Below are 20,410 nucleotides of genomic sequence, written 5' to 3'. Positions count from 1 at the left end.
TTTCTTTGTTACAAACCTGTTTTTGTTTGTCTGAAAATAGCTTTATTTTACTCTCAGTACTTAAAAATTAGCTTAGTAAGATATACAATTCTAGGTCAACAGTTATTTTCTCTCAGCACTTTAAAGATACTATTCCACTGTCTTTTGGCTTCCGTGGTTGCTGCTGACAAATCTAGCAGTGCTACTGACAAGTTTGTTCCTTGGTAAGTAATATATTTACTTCTGGCTTCTTTAAAGAACTTCTGTCTTTTAGTTTCTGCAGTCCACCATGTTGAATTGAGGTACAGATTTCATTTTAAAAATTTCCCTGGGGCTCATTACAGTTCTGAATCCAAGGGATTCATATTTGTCGACTCCAGAGTAGCAATATCTATTAGTTCTTCAAACAGTGCTTTTTTTCCTCATTCTTACTACTGTCTCCTCAAATTCCAATGAAATGTGTGCCAATTGTTCTCATTCTATTGTATTTTTTTACCTTCTTTTCCTCATTTTTCTCTCTTTGCCTCTGTATGCTGCATTCTGGATAGTTTCTTCAAATCTATTATCAGTTTCCTAATTCTTTTGTAAAGCTGTGTCAATATTTACAGTTTAACTCATCTATTTAGTGTAATATATAGTTTTATTTTCTAGATGTTCTATTTCTAGAAGACTTTTTCAAATAGATCTGGTCTTTTTTATGGTACCATGTTCATTTCTCATAGTTTCATAATTTTCTCAAACAGCCTTTAAAATCTTGCTTTAATTTTTATATTCAACAATTCTATAATCCAAAGATTCTGAGATTTTTCCTGATGTTTGTTTGTGCTGACTCTTGCCTTATATCCTTGCATATTTCATAATTTCAGAACTTTGGTTTGGCTGGGCTTTACTTGGCATTCTATCACATGTTAGGTTGAAAATGTATCCTTCCAAAGATTTACATTTCTGTCTAGTTGGTATCCCAGGGAATTCTTAATTCTCAGCATTGGGGGTTCATAGACCATGTCAGTAATTTTCAAACTTCGAACACATGTGAGGTCAGCTCTACATTTTAAAATGCTTGGGATGGAGGCAGTGAGGACATTCTGCTTCCACCTATGATGGAATAGCTAGTACTTGGTTAGCCCTCTTGCTATAAAGTATTATTAAAATGAACAAAATATATGAAAACTATTTTCAGACTTTGGACAAGAGGCAATGCAGGACTATGATTCCCAAGAGAAGGAAAACAAATGAGGTGATATAATGACCACTCTGTTTTATTCTGTCTAGAAAATTTTCTGGACTGTTTTGTAGAGTGCAAGAGCCCAAACAGAATACAGAAGTGTCACTTAGCTAAGGAGACAGAGATTAGAGCCTGAGGAGGCTGAGTTGGTTGGAAAGTGTGGAGTATAGTACTGAGAAAAAGGAAGTTGGTTATAGACAGAGCTACAGACATCTCTACAGGAAACCCCTTAAGTCTTTGGTTAATTATTGTTATGAACTGAATTGTGTCTTCATCTCCCTCACCTAAATTCATAGGTTGAAACCCTAGCCCTCAATGTGCTTGTCTGTGAAGACAGGGCCTTTAGAAAGGTAAGTTAAGGTTAAATGAGATCATAAGAGTGGTGGTCTAATGCAATAGGAATGGTGTCTTTATAAGAGAAAGGGATACCAGAGCGCTCTCTCTCTCTCTCTCTCTCTCTCTCCAGACATGTATAGAGAGAAGAGACCATGTGAGGACACATGAGTAGGCAGCTGTCTATAAACCAGAAATCTTATCAGAAACCATCCTTAATAGCATCTTGATCTTGGACTTCTAGCCTCTAGAAGTGTAAGAAAATAAATTTCTGGTTTTTTTAAGCCTCCCAGTCTGTGTTATTTTGTTATGGCAGCCTAAGTAGACTAATATAGCTACTAAGCTGCACATGCTCAGCGAAAGACTCCATGAGGACAGATAAAGAACATCTATTGGAGAAACAAAAAGTACTGAGGAAAGAATATCTACAGAGGAAGCTGTATATTGAATAACTACTGAAGCTCACACAAGGTTAAAACACATTTGATTTTTGAACAGCCAGAGCGTAGAGACCTTGTTGAATATACAGGAGATTCAAAAGAGACCCTCAGAAAGGCTACACTTTAGGCATAAGGCTAATGTAATCCTAGAGTAAAGAATACTATGGACTCTTTCTTGTAAAACCTTAAAATAAGCTTAGAAAGAACCAGGCTGATCTGCAAGTAAATTAACTACCTGGCAGAACAAAACTAGACACCCGATTTAAGGATGACAGCCAAATCTAGACACTTAATAAAGTGGCATCCATAATGTCCAGGATATAACACAAAATTATCAGACATGTGAAGAAAAAGGAAATATGACCTATTACTAGGAGGTAAATCAGCGATAGAAATAAAATCAGGAATAACAAACACAGAATAGGAAATAAGAACTTTAAAACTACATATAAATATATTCTAGAAATTTAGGAAATCTGTGAACATAATGAGAGAATAGGAATTCTCATTAGCCAAATAGAAACTAAGAAAAAAACTAAATAAAAGTTCAAGAAGCATAAAATGTGGTATCTGAAATGAAACATTTATACTGCAGGAGACACAACTGGTGAACTTGAAGAGCAACAAAAAATATGAAAACCAAAGCATACAGAAAAAGGAAGATGAAAAAAATTAACAGACTCAGTGACCTATGGAATAGTCCAAATGGGCTAACATATATGTAATTAGAGGAGAGAAATGAGAAAGATTAGGGGCAGAAAAATTATTTGAAAAAAATAATAGCTGAAAATTTTCCAAATTTCATGAAAACTCTAAACTTACAGATCCAAGCAGTTCAATAAACCCCAGAAGCATAAAGAATATTGCACCAAGGCAAATCATAATACAATTTTTCAAAACTAGTAATAAAGAAAAAAAAATGTTAAAAGTAGCCTGATGATAAATTACATACAACAGAACTAGGAAGATAATTATTGTTAATTTCTCATCAGAGACAATAAAAAGAAAAAGACAATGAAATCTGTAATGTACTAGAAGGAAAAGAAAATCAACCTAGAATTCTATATCCATCAAAAATATTCTACAAAAATGAAGCCAAAATAAAGACACATTTAGACAAAATAAAGTTGAGAGAACTTATCGACAGAAGACTTGTGCTACAAGAATTGTTCAAGGAAGGTCCTCATGCTTAAGGAAAATGATGAAAAGTGGAACTATATAAAGAAGAGTGCTAGAAACAGTAAATATGTAGATAAATATAAAATACCTTTCTTTATCAAAGTCTTACTTTCTCTCAATGGTAATTGTTTATAACAAAAATAATTAAAGTGTCTTGTGGGGTTTAAAACACATAAATAACATATGACAATAGCAGAAATAATAAGGTAGAGTAAAATGAAAGTATATTGTTGTAAGGTTCACATGCTATAGGTGAAAAAGTATACTGTTATTTGAAAGTAAACTATATTACATTAAAGATACAGTTTAGATGTGAAAGATATTATAAGCCTTGGAGCGACCATTAAAAATAGGTAATTATATCTAATAAGCCAAAAGAAAATATAAAATGATAAAATGTCAAAAAAAATGATTAATTCAAAAGAAGTCAGAAAAGGAAGAGAGAGTATCCTAGAACAGATGGAACAAACAGAAAACAAAAAGCAAGATAGTAGACTCTGTATGGTAGTAAACCTAATTGTATCAATAATTACATTAAATGTAGGTGGAGTAACTGCTCCAATTAAAAGACAGAAATTGTCATATAGAATAAAAAAATCAAGGCCTGAATGGGTCATAAAACATTCATTTAAGAGATGCATTTAAAAAATAAGGACACAAGTTAATAGTAAAATGATGAAAAACTATAAACCATGCAAACACTAATGATAAGAGAGTTGGCATGGTTGGAGTAGCTATGGTAACATTAGGAGTATTACTAGAATTAAAGAGGCATATTTCATAATGATAAAAGGGTCAATTCATCAAGACTATATGAAAATCATAAGTGATTATGAATCTAAGGGCAGGACGTCAAACAAACTGACTGCCAATAAAACCATGGTTGCAGCTGACAATTTCAATATCCCCTTTTCAATAATTATAGAATAAGCAGACAAAAAAATCAGTGAGGCTATAGAGGGCTTATATAGCATTACTAACTAACTGAACCTAATTTACCTTTACTGAACATTACATTCAACAAATGCAGAACACATATTCCTTTCAAATGCACATGGGACATTCAACAAGACATACATAGACTGGGCCATAAAATGAGTTTTGAAACATTTTTTTAATTGAAAGTTTTTGAAAAATCAGAGATTCTTTCCCCCTGCTCCAACCAAGCACCCAGCCCAAGACAGAAAAGTTTCCTCATTGTCTTTCTTTGTCAGAAGATGGATTTTTCCAGTTCATTCTTTTACTGAGCCTCTAACCCTTCATCTGCTTTTTCTCCCATGAGGTCTCAGTTCAACATTCCCACCTTATACAAAAAGCTTGTTTTTGTCTTCCATAGCCAAAAAATACTAAGTCCCTTTGTTACTGAGATTGACAAATGTCTGCAGGACGACTGTAACTTTCAGGCTTTTACACAGTTCTGGTTTTCATCTGCTTTCCACTTTTGGCCATTGAGGAGTTCCCTCAGTATTTTACATGCTCATCTATGCATTTCAAAATATGTTTGTGATATTGTGTTCAGTATTCTAGGGGTTTCGTGGCCAGCAGGTTCTCAGGTTATCTAGTTCCCATGTTTCTGGAAGTTAAAGCCTGGTTATTTTAAGGGTTCAGGTTACTTTGGCCTAATCAAATATCCCCTCATTTAGAGCCGGGCAGCCTTGGGTTTGAAATCTAGCCTCGGTATTCACCAGTTACGTAACTCTGAGCAAGTGATGAAACTTCTCTGAGCCTTAACTTACATGTGAGTTTTAGAGATCGTTAAGTCTGGGTTTTCAAGTTTGTTGTAAGGATTGTCTCTAATCTTACACAATACAAGGCAGAATAAGCAAAAAAGTTAATGTTATCATTATTCATTCATTCATCAAAGATCGAGTGTTTGCTATGTGCCAGACATACCTTCTATGTGCTAGGAATAACAGACAATAAATGTATAAACAAGTAAATAGTTTCATGTAAGTTCAAGTGCAATAACAAACAGGTAGTGGGATTGAGAATGTGTGTAAAAACATAATGGGTATTTCTAATTAGTGACTGGAGTTCCTACTGGATGATGTGACATTTGATTTAAAATCTGAATCAAGATGAAAACGTTCTGAAATTAGAGTGTGATGGTTGTACAACTCTGTGAATATAATAAAAACATTAAAATGTATACCTTAAATGGGTAAATTGTATGTATATTAATTACATCTCAAGTAATTCATGAAGCTGTTTGTTTAAAAGTCTAAATGAAGAAGAGAAAGCCAGATAAAAATCTTGGGGAAAAACACTGTACCTAAGAGAACAGCAGCACAAAACTCTGAGGCTAGAATAGGGCATTAGCCAGTTTGAAGAAAAGATTTGCTGGTAGGAGTTTAGTGAGGGAGAAGATTGGAGACAGTTGAGATTTAGACTGTGGGTAGGAGCCAGACTCAACACACTATTTAAGGGTGACAGGGCTTTGTAGGCCATGTTGAATATTTTGAATTTTTTCCAAAATGCAATGGGGGCCTTTGAAAAAAAATTAAACTGGAAAAGTGATGTCTGGTTTATGCTGTGAAACAATCACTGTGCTTTCCATAAGGCAGGAGAATTAACAGGATAGAAAAAGCACAAACAGGAAGAAAAGCAAAGGAGATAATTCCACAGTAACTAGAATGAAGTCCTAGGTATCCCACTTTTGACTTAGTCCTCCGTTCCCTCAAACTCTACTTTATTGATTATATTCTTATTTTGAGAACAGAGGTGTGACTGAAAGGGCCATCATAGCAGAAGGACCAATAAGAAGTAGAGAATTCATGCTCCACCACTACCCACAAAGGAAAAAATTATTGTAGTATCCTGAAGTTCAAATTGTCTGATTTCCAGTACCTGGACTACTCACAGAAGGTTTTGACATTTTTGGCTGACTGAAAATAGGCCATTCTAAACCGCTTCTGTCTTCCATTTAAAAACTAAGTCAACATTTGATATATATCATTCATCGGTAAGAAAATATATGGCAGAAGTTAAATATGGCTGCGTTGTTTTATATAAATGATTAAAAGTATGGCCTTTACAATCAGACAAAATTTGGTTTAAGCTTTGTCATTTAATGAGCGACTTAGAAATAGTTTTAAATTTTGTTAAATAAAATAAGGGACAAACAACTATTCTTCATTTAGGTTCAAATGAGTTGAACTGTAAATGAGATGCCTATACATCAGTTAGCACAATGACTAATACATGGTAGGCACTCCAAATAGGTAGCCATTATAATTATTATTGCTTATTGTAATAATTGTTGTCTGTTACTTTTATAAAGGAAAAAAATATTTTGAAAAGATGAAATCTACTCACCTTTAAAAGACATGAACCTGTTAACTTCATGTAAAATTACCTTCACGTTAAGTTATGGTTAAAATTACCATACTCCATGTAATCTATAATAATAATATCAAATTTTTCCTGTAATAAAAGTAGTTTAAACCCAATTTTAATAATTATAAAATCTTCAGCAGATTTCTCAGTAAGTTTTAGCAAACTATTTCTAATTATGAACTACTATGGAATATTGAGTTGGATTTTTTAATAGATCCCAAATGAAAATCAAACTCATATTGAGAGCTGAATCCAGTTGGGCTTCTGTGTCGGGTGGGGACTTGGAGAACTTTTCTGGCTAGCTAGAGGATTGTAAATGCACCAATCAGCATTCTGTAAAAAATAGACCAATCAGCACTCTGTAAAATGGACCAATCAGGAGGACATGAGTGGGGCCAAATAAGGGAATAAAAGCTGGCCACCTGGGCAAGTGGTGGCAACCCGCTGGGGTCCCTTTCCATGCTGTGGAGCCTGTGTTGTTTTGCTTTTCACAATAAATCTTGCTGCTGCTCACTCTTTGGGTCCGCACCAACTTTAAGAGCTGTAACACTCACTGCGAGGTCGTGGCTTCATTCTTGAAGTCAGTGAGACCACGAACCCACTGGAGGAACAACCAACTCTGGACGCGCCACCTTTAAGAGCTATAACACTCACAGTGAGAGCCGTCGCTTCATTCTTGAAGTCAGCAAGACCAAGAACCCACCAGAAGAAATAAATTCTGGACACAATATGTTTAATATTAGAAGAATGATTACACATAGCTTGTTACAGATTTCCAAAAAACAGTAGGTACAGTTTTTAAAATTTACATTCACAGAGAATTTTAATGACATTGGAAAATGTAAGAAACTTTGAAAAAAGATGGAGTAAAATATGTATAAAATTGATAATAGTTGATTTAGGGTGGTAGAAGTAAACATAATTTTTTCTGTTTATATTTTTCTCTATCTTTTAAATTTTGCTAATGTGCATAGATTCTTTTAAAATAATAAGAAAATAATAAGGTTAATACGTTATAAAAAATAGGGACCTGGCTGTTGAAGTGCGATGGAGACAATTTGTTAGAACATGTGGCTTGTTACACAGACGCTTGAGAAGTTTGTTGAGAGAGAACGATTACCTAGAAACAAGAGTTACAGTAAATGGGGTAAAAAGGGCAAAAGTTCTTCAGATTACTATCCTATTTACCAAAGTTTGTGATATGTATTTTGAATATATGTGAAGAGCTTCACTTCTATCAAGCCATAGCACTTATTTGTCACTCTGATATAACAATTTAACATAAAATTGAGTTCATTCAAATGAGCAGAAAAGGAAAAAAATGTAAGTATGTCTACTTTCCCGGGAATGGTCTTGCACCAGTATCTTTCTATTCATGTTAGCATTTTCTATGTAAGAAACAAATACCCAAAGACTTTTGTAGTAGAGACTCCATCTGTTCCAATATAGTCAATATCCTTCTATTTGAGCATCAATTAGTGGCCTTCAATTAACCACCTTGCATTCGGTAATAGTCTGAAGGGGAGAGTTCTTGATTCTGGGAATCAAAGAGCTTTACTGCTGTGCCTCATGCAGAGAGCAGACCAGATGTCTTCTAAAAGCGAGGCAGTCTCCTTTAAATATGCATTAGAGCTAGCATTACTATCACACTTAGCCTTCCAAGGCTCTAAAAGCAGTGGCAAAGGAGGGCTAAACATACAAAATGCAAGCAACTTGGTCTGTAAGCAGTCAGTATGTCATTATCCTTCAACAGAACTCTTTCAATTGAATGTTTGTGGTTTAGAGGTTTTAGGATATAATATTTCTCACTTCAAAGAGTTTTTTTATATTACTATATGAAGCCATGGTGCATTTAACTGACTTAATAAAATGTAATTCTTACTTTAAGTCTTGAGAGGAGAAAAGCCTCTGTGAAAGAAATCTTTGTTAGCAAGGCATATAAGCAGAGTCCTGGTCTGCAATAATATTGATGATCACGACTTGTGTGTTACTATATAAAATTCAACCAGTCAAAATTCAACATCTTTAAGAATATTGCTACTTTGGGCAAAATTTGAGTTTCATTAGAGTAAAATCATTTCTGACATTTCATAAAGTTTAATGCAAACAAAAATGATTAATCATTCATAAATATGTAAACATATGATATTAAAAGGGTATATTACATTTGAGACAAAATGGCAGAATCAGAATTTTTTTAATTGCTAAGAATTTTATGTAGCAAGTTTGTTTATTCAGTAACATAATCACAAAATAGAAATATCACATTCACAGAAGTGGAAATAAAGAGCATAAAATATTTTTAAAACAGGAAAGCAATGGGATCACTTTCAAGAGCCTCAAAGAAAACCTTTAATTTACAATGCTACGCTTTCATGATTAATAGGATTAATGTGTGGTTTTTCTTTGATAAAAGTAGTCATGATTTTTTAGTATTACATACATTCATTGCATATGACAGACACTCTGATAAAAATGTACTGTTCTAATTACTTAATTGTTTTGGCTCATTTAACACCTTGTTTAAATAGCTTTAAGACATATAAGAGGCAAATAATTATATATACTTAAGGATAAAATTTTCAGATATTTATCCAAACACACATTTACCCATTAAATTAGAACACTAACTGCTTAATATGTAAAACTAGTTTGAAATCATGACTCTTGATTAAATACATACTTCAACATCTCTCATGAGACTTCCCAACTTCAAAAATGACTTTAAAAAATTAGCTTGGGGGTGAATCACCAATACATTCAGAAACACGGCCAAAACAAGGAGTTTTATTTCAAAGACTGAATTCAGAAAATGAACCAACTATTTTTGTACATTATATTAATAAATTGGTTCTTTGTTGAAAACCTCAAACATGAATGATATTAGCAATATGCATGTGTGAGACCCATTAAAAATGACAATTCAAAAAAATTACTGCTTAACCTAAAGGAAAAATGTTACTGTTGGATTCCTGCCTGGGGCTTAAATTGTGGTCTTGCATTAATAAAGTACGTTTGTTGATTCCCTAGCTTTGGGTGATACCTTGAAACCTTTTGTGTTTTCTGGGAGATATTTCACACAAGTTCTAAAATTTGAGAGTCCACTTAACAAAATAAAATTCCCACTTACATGATAATATATTAATTCTAATATTATATAAATAGAACAAATCTGATTCATTTATAGGGCAAGTGCTACATTCTGAACTATCTAACTCAAATTAAATTCAACTCTGTGGCAAACAATTCATTTTCTTATTAGGCAATCAATGTTACCTTCAATAAGGCAATTCCCATTTACCTTCTGGCCATAGCAGTTGTCTTAAAACCAAGTTCTAAACCTGTAGTTCATGTAAAAGGATATGATTTCCTTAGCAAGTAGTTAAGAAAATCTACAATAGGCCGGGAACGGTGGCTCACACCTGTAATCCCAGCACTTTGGGAGGCTGAGGTGGGTGGATCACCTGAGGTCAGGAGTTCGAAACCAGCCTGGCCAACATGGCAAAACCACATGGCTACTAAAAATACAAAAATTAGTCGGGTGTGGTGGTGGGCACCTGTAATCCCAACTACTCGGGAGTCTGAGGTACGAGAATCACTTGAACCCAGGAGGCAGAGGTTGCAGTGAGCTGAGATTGCACCACTGCACTCCAGCCTGGGTGACAGAGCAAGACTCCATCTCAAAAAACAAAACAAAACAAAAAACTACAATAGAGATGTATGTCAAAGAGAATATAAGTTCTTAAGAAGCTGCGTCTAATTAGTGAAGCTCTCCCTTCCCATATTCAGTGATCCAAGAAACTGAAATTTAAATGGAAAAATGAATCTGTAAAGTTATAGATGTCAAATTCTCAGATTCTTCATTGTTATTTCCCAAGTGGAAAAGGATTAGAAATAATAGAATATTATTGATTTTTAGAGGAAAGTAGATTAAAAAGTGTTTACATTTTTAAAACTTTATACAGTGTTGCTCAATGCTCACCAATAGACCATTGCATTCATTTGTATATGCAAATTAAACTGGAAAATCCATAAAAACATATGTATCACCAGTAAATGAATCAGTAAAGTACAATATAACACAAAAGAAAACGAAATATTGCTTGATTTTTTCCAATAAAAGCAAGGTTAATAAAAACATTTTTAGTAAGAAAATCTATCATTTTTGTTTTAAAAATCTTTCAATTTTAAACATCATTACCAACACATTAAAAGTATTATCAATAAGTGCCTTTACAATTTCAAGCAAAAGCTACTGTGTTTTCCTTATTGGAAATACTGCTTTCAGTCATCTTTTTTGTCTGAGGTACTCTCTTCATGCTTTTCAGGGCTGACTTTATTACTGGCGGTGGAGGGGGTTGTCTGGACTTCTTTTGGTAATGAAAACACATGGCACGTCTGGAGGTCTAGGTATGTTGTAAATATCTTAGCATATTCTGGATGCTTTAAGGCAAAACTTTTAAATTCCTCTAGAAGAGAAAGAAAAAAAATCCAATAAGTTGGGGTGAATCTTCTTTTGGCATGATGCAGATTAATAAATGACTCTAATAATGCAATTATTACAAAATTCTACTACCCAACACACAAACATTGCTGATGAAAATATAAGTTGTACAACCACTTTGGGAGATAGTTTTTCCATTATCTAGTCAAGTTGAAGATATACATACTCTTTGACCCATTAATTCTACTCTGAGGTATATATCCTAGAGAAATTTGTGCATATTGTGCTCTGAGAGACATGTATGAGAATGTTCACAGCAACATTATTTATAATAGATAAAAAATAAAAACAACTTGGATGTCCATCAACAGTAGAAATGCATAAATAAATTGTGTCATACTCATGGAACATAAGGCCATATGGCAATGAAAATGAATAAACAGCTATGTAGAAACAATGTGGATTAATCTTAAAGCCATAATGTTTAATGAAAAAAGCAAGATATAAAGTAACACATAATTGTATGAGTCTATTTATATAAAGCCCAAAAACTTAGACAAAACTAAAATTTAATATTTAAAGGTACATACTTTAGGGGTGAACTGTTAAAGTAAAATAAAGCAAGGCAGAGATTCCTTTTTAAGTCAGGATAACAACCCCCTTCTTTAAGAGAGAGGTAGGGGTGTGGTTGGGAAAGGGCACACAGGGGTTTCTGGAGTTGTGGAAAAGCTCTATTTCTTGACTTGAATGGTAGTTACATGGGTGTTCACTTTATAAAACTTCGTTGTGCTTTATATGTTTTATTTAGTTTTCTGTATTTTTGTTCTTTCTAGCAATTTAAAAAATGTTTAAAAAATTATATTACCCACCACTTTCTATAATTGGTTTTTAAAACCATTTGAGCCCTTAACTCTGGTACAGAAAAATACAGTCTTAAAAAGCTGAGCCTTGATTTGTAATCAATAATGGATAGGAAAGTGTACAATATATAATAATCATACCACAAGACCTCCAAGTAGAGGAGTTCTTTTTATCTCAAGTGTTTTAGAAGCTGAGATAGGGCTACAGAAGGCTTACTTAGTTAACTATCAGGACTTGAACCTCAATCCTCCAGTAACCTGGAGTTTCTGAAATATTATTCTGTCTTCTATTTTGAAATCCTTCTATTCTCTTCTTTTGGGTGGATAAAACTTTATTGAGCTTATTAGAGCAAAGATAGCATGGTCTTTGGATTAGCTGCCATTTGGCTCTATAATAAAATAATGTTAACTAAATGTCCTATTTCTATACATTTACTTTTAAAAAATCCTCTGATAAGCAAGGGTCTGCTTCATGACACATTAGGCTACCTAACTCTTGAATATAAAAATAGGTCTTAGTCTGCAGTGACCTCTGATCATGCCACTGCACTCCAGCCTGGGCAACAGAGTGAGACCGTATCTCAAAAAAACAAATAAACAAACAGGTCTTAGTGATGAGGAAGTCACCAGATTGAACTCAAATCATTATTTGCAATTGCAATGTTGTTTTGCATTAATAAACCACTTTTTATTTCTAAATCAGGCAAACTACTAACTGTTCTTTTTTAACTTCCAAAATAAAGGTTCTTGTTTCTAGGGATACATTATAGAAAAAAATAAAAATAGATGAAGTTTAATCTACATGAGTCTGTTTCAATGACGGAGACACATAGAAGACTTAAGTGACTTTGAAGATAAGTGAGCATGACAGTTGATCTACTGAAACCAAGAACTTTAATTTCAAGACTTGTGCTATGGCCAAAAGATCAAGATCCTCTGTTGGGATGTCAGTGGCATTAAAGAGTAACTCATTGCTGGAAGTCCTGTGATTGACTCTATGTGGAATTTGAGCATTAATTTAGATAATGGAAAACTGAAAATAAAGTAATTTAAGGCAGCAGTCCCCAACCATTTTGGCACCAGGGACTGGTTTCATGGAAGACAATTTTTCCATGGATGGTAAAGGGGATTGGGGAGATGGTTTCAGGATGAAACTGTTCAACCTCAGATCATCAAGCATTGGATTCTCATAAGGAACGTGCAACCTAGATCCCTCACATGTGCAGTTCACAATAGGGTTCATGCGCTCCTATGAGAATCTAATGCCTCCACTGATCAGATAGGAGGCGGAGTTCAGGCTCTAATGCTCACTCGCCTGCCACTCACCTCCTGCTGTGTAACTCCGTTCCTAATGGCCACAGATCGGCACCGGTCCATGGCCTAAGGGTTGGGAACCCCTGATTTAAAGGATCACATTTAAACAATCTAAATGGTCACATTCATGACATTTATCAATATCTACTTTTTAAACAAAATTATACTTAAATACTTCAAACATTCTTGAAAAAAATAGCAGATTTGCCTAATATTGGGAAAGGGGAGATATTCTGTATTCTGCAAAGAAAAAGGTTGAACTCCAAAAAACAAAGCAGATTTCCCTGAAAAATTACTTAAATCAACAGGTTATTATGGCTATCTACAAATCATTTTTAGTATTAGCTTCCATTGAAGTAGTTATTCCAACTAGTTTTTCAAAATTTAGTAGTTTGGAGTAATAGTCTTCCTTATGAAAATAGCCAGAGAAGAATTAGTACACTTGAATTTATGACTCATAAGTTTCATCTCAGTATTTACACTTCCCATTTTATCCTGTTTTTTCAAATGAACTCAATAGATTAAGTGCCCTAGGCATTTAATTACCTAAATGACAGTAATTAAAAACAGAGAGTAAGAGAAGTATGTGATCTACTTTTCCCATCCCATGAAAGTTAACAAGCTGAAACTCTTGAACACCATAAGGAAAGAGTAATTAAAGAGGAGTCTCCATCCAGCCTCAGGGGAAAGACTGGGGAAGATAAGCCAGCTTGACATCCATGACCACATCAAACCCAAGACAGGGAAACAATTATCTTGGTCTCTCCATTGAGGTGTGTTTCTCAACAACTGCACTGTGAATATAGAGAAGCTTCAGTCCAGTGCAACTTGTTTTGATGGGTGGACTTGAGCCATCAAGAGAAAAGACAGTTACTGATGGATAGACCTGCCACTTTGCCACAAGGTCTTTCTCCATGATAGACCCTAACTCACAGGAGTTGCTAACAAGATGGCATGAGACAAGGAATGTGAAAAGTTACATAGGTCACTAATAGTAAACATCAATAAATCGTTTAGCTACTATTATTGTTGGTGCCTCAGTCCATGTTCCTTTACTATAGTTGCAACCTACTTGGTTTACTTGTTCAGTTTTGCCTGGCCACACTGAAAGCAGAGATCACTAAAGTGTAGAGTCAATAGTGCAGGCTCCAAAGTCAAACTGTTTTGGTTTTTGAATTGTGGCTCTGATGTTCTTTAGCTAAATTGTCTTAGATAAGTTACTTAAAGTCTTTGTATCTTAGTAAAACAAGAATAATTAAGAATACCGATTAGATAGGCTTGCTATAAAGATTAAATGGGTTAATATATATAAAATGTTTAGAAGAGTGCCTAGCATATAAGTCCTCAATAATTAGCTATGACTATTATGCCATTACTACTATTATTACTGTGGTCATCAATATTACTATTATGTCTATTATTAATGTAATTAGTTAAGAGAAACAGTACTCTTGAGCATCAGTCCATAGTCTGGATGTCCTCCTTGTAAACTAAGTCAGGAGGCCAGATTGCCTACTCACCATAGGAAATTGAGTCCCCTTGGGCTATTTCCTTGAAGAGACCAGAAACATCAAGGTCAGGCACTCCAAGGGAAGCCTGTAGAATGGTGGAGAACTCTTCCTCCGTTATGTAGCCATCCTCATCAACGTCAAACAGCTGAAGAAAATAAAATGTAAGAATTAGCTCCCTCAGGATCATAGTGGTAGGGAATAATCTTGGAAAATAAAGTCTTTAATAATTCAAACATCTACTGTGGCAAGGGCTAGAAATATGTATATTAAGAAAGTATCATCTCTACTACCCTCACAACACCTGTAGCTTGGTGTTTGAGAGAGACAGGATTAAAACAGGAGCTATACCAATGGTCCATAGTACAAAGGGACAGGGGATCTCCATGGGGAACATAATGAATCCTACCCAGAGAGGTCCAAGAAGGCTTCATAGGAGTTGACATTTGAGTTGGGTCTTAGAACATGAAGAAAAGTTCCCAGAATATACAAAGAATGGCAAGTGATTGCCTGGGGCTCCAGTCAGGAGATAGAGACAAACAGGAATTAGATCATGGTGGGTATATAATTCCTCACCAAATCCTGTAGGATTATAATGGGAGTGGAGGTGGTGTGATCCTATGAGAACTGAGAAAACTTTGAGGCAGAGTATGGAGGATGAATTGGGAGCAAGAGGTTGATAAAACCAGAGGCAGGAAAACCAGTTAAGAGTCTGGGTTTGAGAAGCAGGAAGGATAGGAAGGGATAGAATTCATGAAAAGCAAAGACAAGACTTGCATATCAATAAGGGGTCTGTAGTGATGGAAAGGTCAGAAGTAAAAATGGTATCTTCTAGTTTAGGCAACTGGGTGAAAGCTGATTACATTAGCCAAAGTGGGAAAACAGAACAAGCGCCAAATGAGATCAAGAATTAGACCTAGATAGGTTAAATTTGAATCAGAGGTGCCAGGAGTAAAGAAGAGATTCAGAATATCATTTTAGGAAACTGATGAGTCTTGAGATACGAATTTGGGTAAGAATGGAAACTATGGTTATGTTTGAGCTTATCTGTAGAGAATGCACAAAGTAAAGCAAAGTCCTGGGAACAGCAACAGCTGAGGTATGAGTAGTGAAGAGGAACTGACAGAAAAGGCTTAAAAGCAGCAGCCAGATAGGAGAACCAAGAAATCAGAGCATGTATCTTAGAAGCTAAGGGGGTGTGTTCAGGAAAGAGGAAGAGATGCTAACAGTGGTAAGGGCCAACAGAGCAAAATGCCATAGGAAGGCCTAGCAAGAAGCAAAACCGTTTGTTGGATTTGATTATTAGAGGATCCTGATGATTTTAGTAAACAATTTCAGGGGACCGGAAGCCAGATGGTAATGGGAATCAAGAGATGAATAGAAGTGAAAAGCAGAGGCAAGAAATATGGACTCTTCATTTTAAGGAATTATGAAACAAAGGGAAAGAGATAATCGGGGTAGTATCCAAGCACAAAAGAGGTTATTTTAGGAAGGGAGAGACTGAATATGGTTTAGGAGGAGGGGAAAAGGCAGTAGAGTGGGGTAGACTGAAAGTCATGCAGCAAAATAAGGATAACTGATGGATAATTAATATTCCATACTCAAAATCCTCTCCTGGGTCTTAAGAATTTTTAATGATATGAGTACTTACTTTTTATAAGCACTGATCAAAAGTGTTCAAATCACTTTACATGTACTAACTCACTCAACCCTCACAATAGTCTTATGGTAGGTGCCACTGTCAGTCCTATCTTACAGATGGGAAAGCTGAGGCACAAGGAAGTTAAGTAACTTTTCCCAAGGTCACACCACTTGCAAGTAGTACAGGGGGCATCCAAATCCAGGCAGATAATATCTAGAGTTCCTGATGTTGAGATTTCTACTTCTGACCAAATACAAGATCAAAAACAGAGAAAAACAGGTATTAGATAAGGGGTGATAACCATGAAAAAAATAATAAGCAAATACTGAATCATGTTTTAATGGTCCCTAAAGGGTAGGAGGATAAAAAAGTATAATTTGAAGTTGAGATTTGTTGCCCCAGCAGACAAAGCTCTGGCTTCAAGTCCATTTCTTACCACTCAGTGCCTAGTTAGGGGATACAATAGTTGGAAAGTGAAAAGTGAATCGACATCTGTTTTCACAAACTGTAGACCTCAGGCTCTTCATGCGCCTTGGACTTCAACAGTAATTGCCAGGACTCAGTCCTAGCTCCCTCCTCACAAGCTCTAAGCTTTCTTCAGAGGCCTTCCATTTCTAAACAGTTTGTGCCAACTCATCTAAACAGTCTAAATTCTTGCCAGGTTTGGTGCTTTGGTGTCTCTCACTTCTGTATAAGCTCCTTTTACATGGTCCATACTAAAGACTTTTACTTCCTCTATATGTGTCCTTTGCCATAACTCCCCTCTCTAAACTCTTCAATTTCCCTCACTTACTCGTCACTCCCCACTACAAAGTTCCTAGATCTAAGGTAAACCCCATGCATGATCTAGACTCTGGTAGAAAGTTTAACACCTCAGTTTCCTTTGAAATGGGGACTGATATCTCCCCATTGCACAGAATAATGTGGAATCTTAATGAAAACATTCTGTCTTTCCCATCACGCACATGGCCCAAGACCAGCTGGACCCTCCCTGAAATGTGCATTATGAACAGAGTTGGAGTTTGCTCATTTTAACTGCAGTGGCCAGGGAGGTTGTAAGGCTGTTCCTGCAGCCAGGACCTCTGAAGCTTCCTGGCTGTGAGTTTTCCCTTGAGTCTACTCCCTGGCCTTACAAATAATTCCACTTTGGCGTCAGTCAGTCAGTCTATCTTATTGCTTGCAAATGAAGAATCTTGACTAATATTCTAACTCTAAGTGTCACTGTGAAGGTGAAATGAGATAAAAGATGGGAAATTAACTGTGAAGTGCTATCCAAATAAAAGTATGTAAAAGAATCCTATATGTAAAAGGATACTACTAAATAAAAAGTATGCAAAAATACTTCCAAAACATAAAACACATTTAAAAAGGAGGGTTAAAAAATAACCAATGTAAAGCATAATTCTTGTCTTACTGAAAAAAAAAAAAAGCTAATTATAGTTTTAAGCCCTCCTTTCTTCCCTTCCCCTTCCCCAAACCAAGGTCTAGGCTAGACAAAAATCTCACAGCTTCTTTCAAATCGTAATTACTGTGATTAAGGGCCAAATTTTATATCAGGTCTTTCATTGGTAAACCAAAAATGACCATTTGCTCAACTAAACTGATAATTACACGTACAATCCCCAAACAGAAACAGAAATATCTAGATCAGAAGAATAAGTTAGCTATGTGTGTAATTTTAGGTTTTATGATGAATAAGTCTGTAAAAGCTGAAGGTTTTAAACTTTGGAAAAAGTCTGGCCCTTGCCTTATGACCATCTGCTAAGCATCAACCATTTAGGTTCTTTATAAGCCTGGCAGTTAACTCAGTTTAAACCAATCTGAAATAAAAAGTAAACTCAGGGGCTCTTCTGTCAATGATAGTGCACATGAAAATTCCTAAGGCTTATCCCAATTGGCCTCTAAGACATAAGAAAGAACTCTTGGAAGAAGAAAGTCTTTCTAGATAATAGAGGGGGGAAAGCCTTCTTGGAATTGCAGGGAGACATTCTTCTCCAAGAAAGTCAGGAAGAGATGAGTAGAAAACAGAAACAGAGAAGGTCTGCAGCTCTCTTGCTGGACAAAAGCAAGGAAACTACGTGGCTGTACAACAAGAGCCAATATACATAGCTTAGCAAGACAAGGAGAGAAATGAAGTTTCTCTTTTACTTGAGAGAACTAAAAGGGAGTATCATATTTAAACATACTGATTAGATGAAGCCCCTTTACTCTCAGAACAGAACACACATTTTGGGAATGTATTCTTCCCTCTTGTTTTGCACTTGTAAGCAAATGGTCTTCAAAATTTGAACTTTCATCAAGCTCTGTGGGAACCAGGGACATGAATTTTATTCATCTGCTCCCAATTTAGATCCCTGTATTGCTGTGAAAATATATGTGACAAGACAGGAAGACATGAGGGGCAGGAACTTGGGACATTTATGATGGTGTTCACCTGACGCCACAATGCCAAAACAAATTTTATTAGAAAAAGTACCACTGAAAATATCACTGACATACAGAATGAGAAAATAACGATAGATCAGAACTTTCCAGAGACTGAATTAGGATGACTAGTGACAGGTGGTGTTTATTTATAAACTTCCCTTTGGGGCTTCAAAATGGGGAAGCTGAAAAGAAATAATTTTTTAAGTTAGCTTGTGAAATCTCCTGCTCTTCAATCTTGATGTTGTTAATTAGGCTACTTCTAGAAACTTTTTGCTTAAATAAATGCTTGTGTTTTCTTTATTCTTAGTAGCAACTGACTTAATCACATTATTGTCCTGTACATGTCACAGCAGATCTATAAAATCACATAATAGATTCACTGATTTTCAAATAATACACTTAGAGTCAACACTTGTTTACAAGGCAGACCAAGATGCTTTCAATGGGGCTGACAGTACCTTAAATGCCACCTGGATGATCTCCTCTGTGTTGGAAGGGTTGCACAAGACAGCCAGGCCAATCACATACTCTCGGAAGTCAATGCTGCCATCATGGTTCTGTGAAAGGATGGGATAAATCAATTAGGAGGGCCACTAGTGGAATTACTATTAATCCTACTACAAGGTAAAATTCAGGTATGTCTTATAGCTCAACCTCATCATTCACTATTTGGAGAAAAGTCTCACTAAGAAGGAACAGCAAGCAAGTAGCCCAACTATTCCCAAGAAGGAAGAAAAATATATTTTCTGTTCAGCAATAAATATAAACTTTTTATGACTGGGGCCATTTATCATGGCTCTATGGCACCCAGTGTGGGTTCTTGAGCTCAGCTTTGCCATGATGGGAGCCCCTCTGGGAGGCAGGACCTATGAGTTTCATCCTTTGTGGAAGTGAAGTGTTCATTCCACCATTACTGGTGGTCCTGCCATAAAGACCAACACCAAAGGGTCATTAAGGGTCCTAAGGGGTTACTAAGCAATCTTCCACATGTGGAAAATGAAAGAAAAGAAAAAGGGCAATAATCACAGCTACATTTTTTCTTTCTTCCAGGCTTAATCTATAGTAAACCAGGAGCAACTGAAGCAAACTTGGGCAACTTTAATAGCCCTGGGGGACATCACCCCAGAAGATCTTACACTTCTAAGCCAATGAAAATAAAGCATAACTAGTATAATATACCTTAGGAGGCATTTCCTGATGGCAATATAAGGGAAGAAATTGATTATTGTAATTCAGGCTGACTAAATACAGAGTTTTCCCTGTACATTAACTGTTTACCTAGACAGGAGCTCTAAGAAGATGAAAATGGAGAGAAGAAAGCTTAGGAGAAAAGGAAGAAAGAGAGAGAGAGATAAGGTAGAAAGTAGGGAGGACTGAAGGAAGAGAGGCCAGACAGAGAACTAAAAAAGAAAGAGGGAGTAGAGGAGAAGGGACAAATGAGATGGAAGTGTTAGAAAAAGATAAAGAGGTGGAGGGAGGGTAGGAGGAGGGAGAAAGAAAGAGAAACTGTAAGTAAGTACTTGATTATAATACCAGGTGTTAGAATTATTTTGGCAGCAAAATTTTCAAGTGATAAATTCCCAGATAAACTATGAACTAGTAACAACAAAGCTAGGGCAGTACTTAATTTGATAGACTAATAATAATATTTGACACAACAAGAGTATGATAATCATCTGTGTTGAAGTATCTACGCTTCAATCAAAAGTTTCTTAAAAGCAAG

General features: G+C 35.5%; 1 protein-coding gene across 3 annotated transcripts in view; it reads right to left on the bottom strand.

Annotated features, from left to right (window-relative positions):
* Positions 1-7,208: 7,208 nt before the first annotated feature.
* The window catches only part of LPCAT2 (lysophosphatidylcholine acyltransferase 2), a 77,595-nt gene continuing 64,393 nt past the window's right edge, over positions 7,209-20,410 (bottom strand). For all 3 annotated transcript variants that reach the window (NM_017839.5, XM_047434277.1, XM_011523169.4), the window contains 3 exons: positions 19,146-19,244; positions 14,631-14,766; positions 7,209-10,961 (listed from right to left, as the gene is read on the bottom strand). In NM_017839.5, the coding sequence (NP_060309.2) occupies positions 10,777-10,961; positions 14,631-14,766; positions 19,146-19,244 (420 nt within the window). In that variant the 3' untranslated portion in view covers positions 7,209-10,776. The remainder of the gene's footprint in view (positions 10,962-14,630; positions 14,767-19,145; positions 19,245-20,410) is intronic.

Source organism: Homo sapiens, chromosome 16 (assembly GCF_000001405.40).
Source record: "Homo sapiens chromosome 16, GRCh38.p14 Primary Assembly".
NCBI lineage: Eukaryota > Metazoa > Chordata > Mammalia > Primates > Hominidae > Homo > Homo sapiens.
This window is presented reverse-complemented; position numbering and strand designations above follow the sequence as displayed.